The sequence below is a fragment of the Homo sapiens genome, chromosome X (genome assembly GCF_000001405.40).
Source record: "Homo sapiens chromosome X, GRCh38.p14 Primary Assembly".
Taxonomy (NCBI): Eukaryota; Metazoa; Chordata; class Mammalia; order Primates; family Hominidae; genus Homo; species Homo sapiens.
This window is the reverse complement of record NC_000023.11, coordinates 44777636-44778644: the sequence shown is the minus strand read 5'-3', so window position 1 is coordinate 44778644 and position 1009 is coordinate 44777636. Positions and strand designations below refer to the sequence as shown.

At 48.7% G+C, this 1009-nt stretch overlaps 1 annotated feature.

Moving 5' to 3' along the window:
• Window positions 569-734: a silencer, noted in NCBI's record as "fragment chrX:44637157-44637322 (GRCh37/hg19 assembly coordinates)". NCBI's record gives its function as "represses an EF-1alpha promoter that drives an FKBP-Casp9 reporter gene in an ReSE screen in phorbol 12-myristate 13-acetate-treated (for megakaryocytic differentiation) K562 erythroleukemia cells {active_cell/tissue: K562(+PMA)}" and the evidence as "EXISTENCE:reporter gene assay evidence [ECO:0000049][PMID:32094911]".

Here is a 1009-nt window from a genome sequence, read left to right as displayed (position 1 = left end):
AGGACAAAGCTTCCACACCATGGAAGGGGACCCGAGTGAGTTGCCACTGCTGGCTGCGGTGGCCAGCTTTTACTCCCTTATTTGTCCCCTTCCATTTTCCGTTTTTGTCCTATCAGAGTGCCCTTTTTTCAATCCTCCCTGCAATTGGCCACTTTTAGGATCCTGCTGATTGTCGCATTTTACAGAGTGCTGATTCATGCGTTTTACAGAGCTCTGATTGGTGCATTTTGCAATCCTCTTGCTAGCTACAGAGCGCTGATTGGTGTGTTTTTACAGAACGCTGATTGGTGCATTTTACAATCCTCTTGTAAGACAGAAAAGTCCTCCAAGTCCCCACTGGACCCAGGAAGTCCAGCTGGCTTCACCTCTCAGTCCTAGCTAGCAAGAGACTGAGGCACGAGAATCACTTGATCCTGGGAGGAGGAAGTTGCAGTGAGCTGAGATAATGCCACTCCAGCCTGGGTGATGGAGTGAGACTCTGTCTCAAAAAAAAAAAAAAAAAAAAAAAGAAGAAGAAGAAGGAAAAGAGTTTTCTGGTGATGGTTGAATTAGAACAACCCCTGCCCCTGACTGGTGAGGCTGTGGAGTGACTGGAACTCTCATATATTGTTGGTAGGAGTATAAAATGGTGCACCCACTTTAGAAAAACATTTGGCAGTTCCTTAAAAAGTTAAATATGCGGCTGGGTGCGGTGGCTCATGCCTGTACTCTCAGCACTTTGGGAGGCCGAGGCGGGCGATTACCTGAGGTCAGGAGTTCCAGACCAGCCTGGCCAACATGGCGAAACCCCGTCTCTACTAAAAATACAAAAATTAGCCAGGCATGGTGGCAGGCGCCTGTAATCCCAGCTACTCAGGAGGCTGAGGCAGGAGAATCGCTTGAACCCGGGAGGAGGAGGTTGCAGTGAGCCGAGATCGTGCCATTGCACTGCAGCTTGCAGCCTGGGCGACAAGAGCTAAAAGTTAAATATGCACCTTTCCTGTGATCTAGCAATTCCACTCCTAGATAT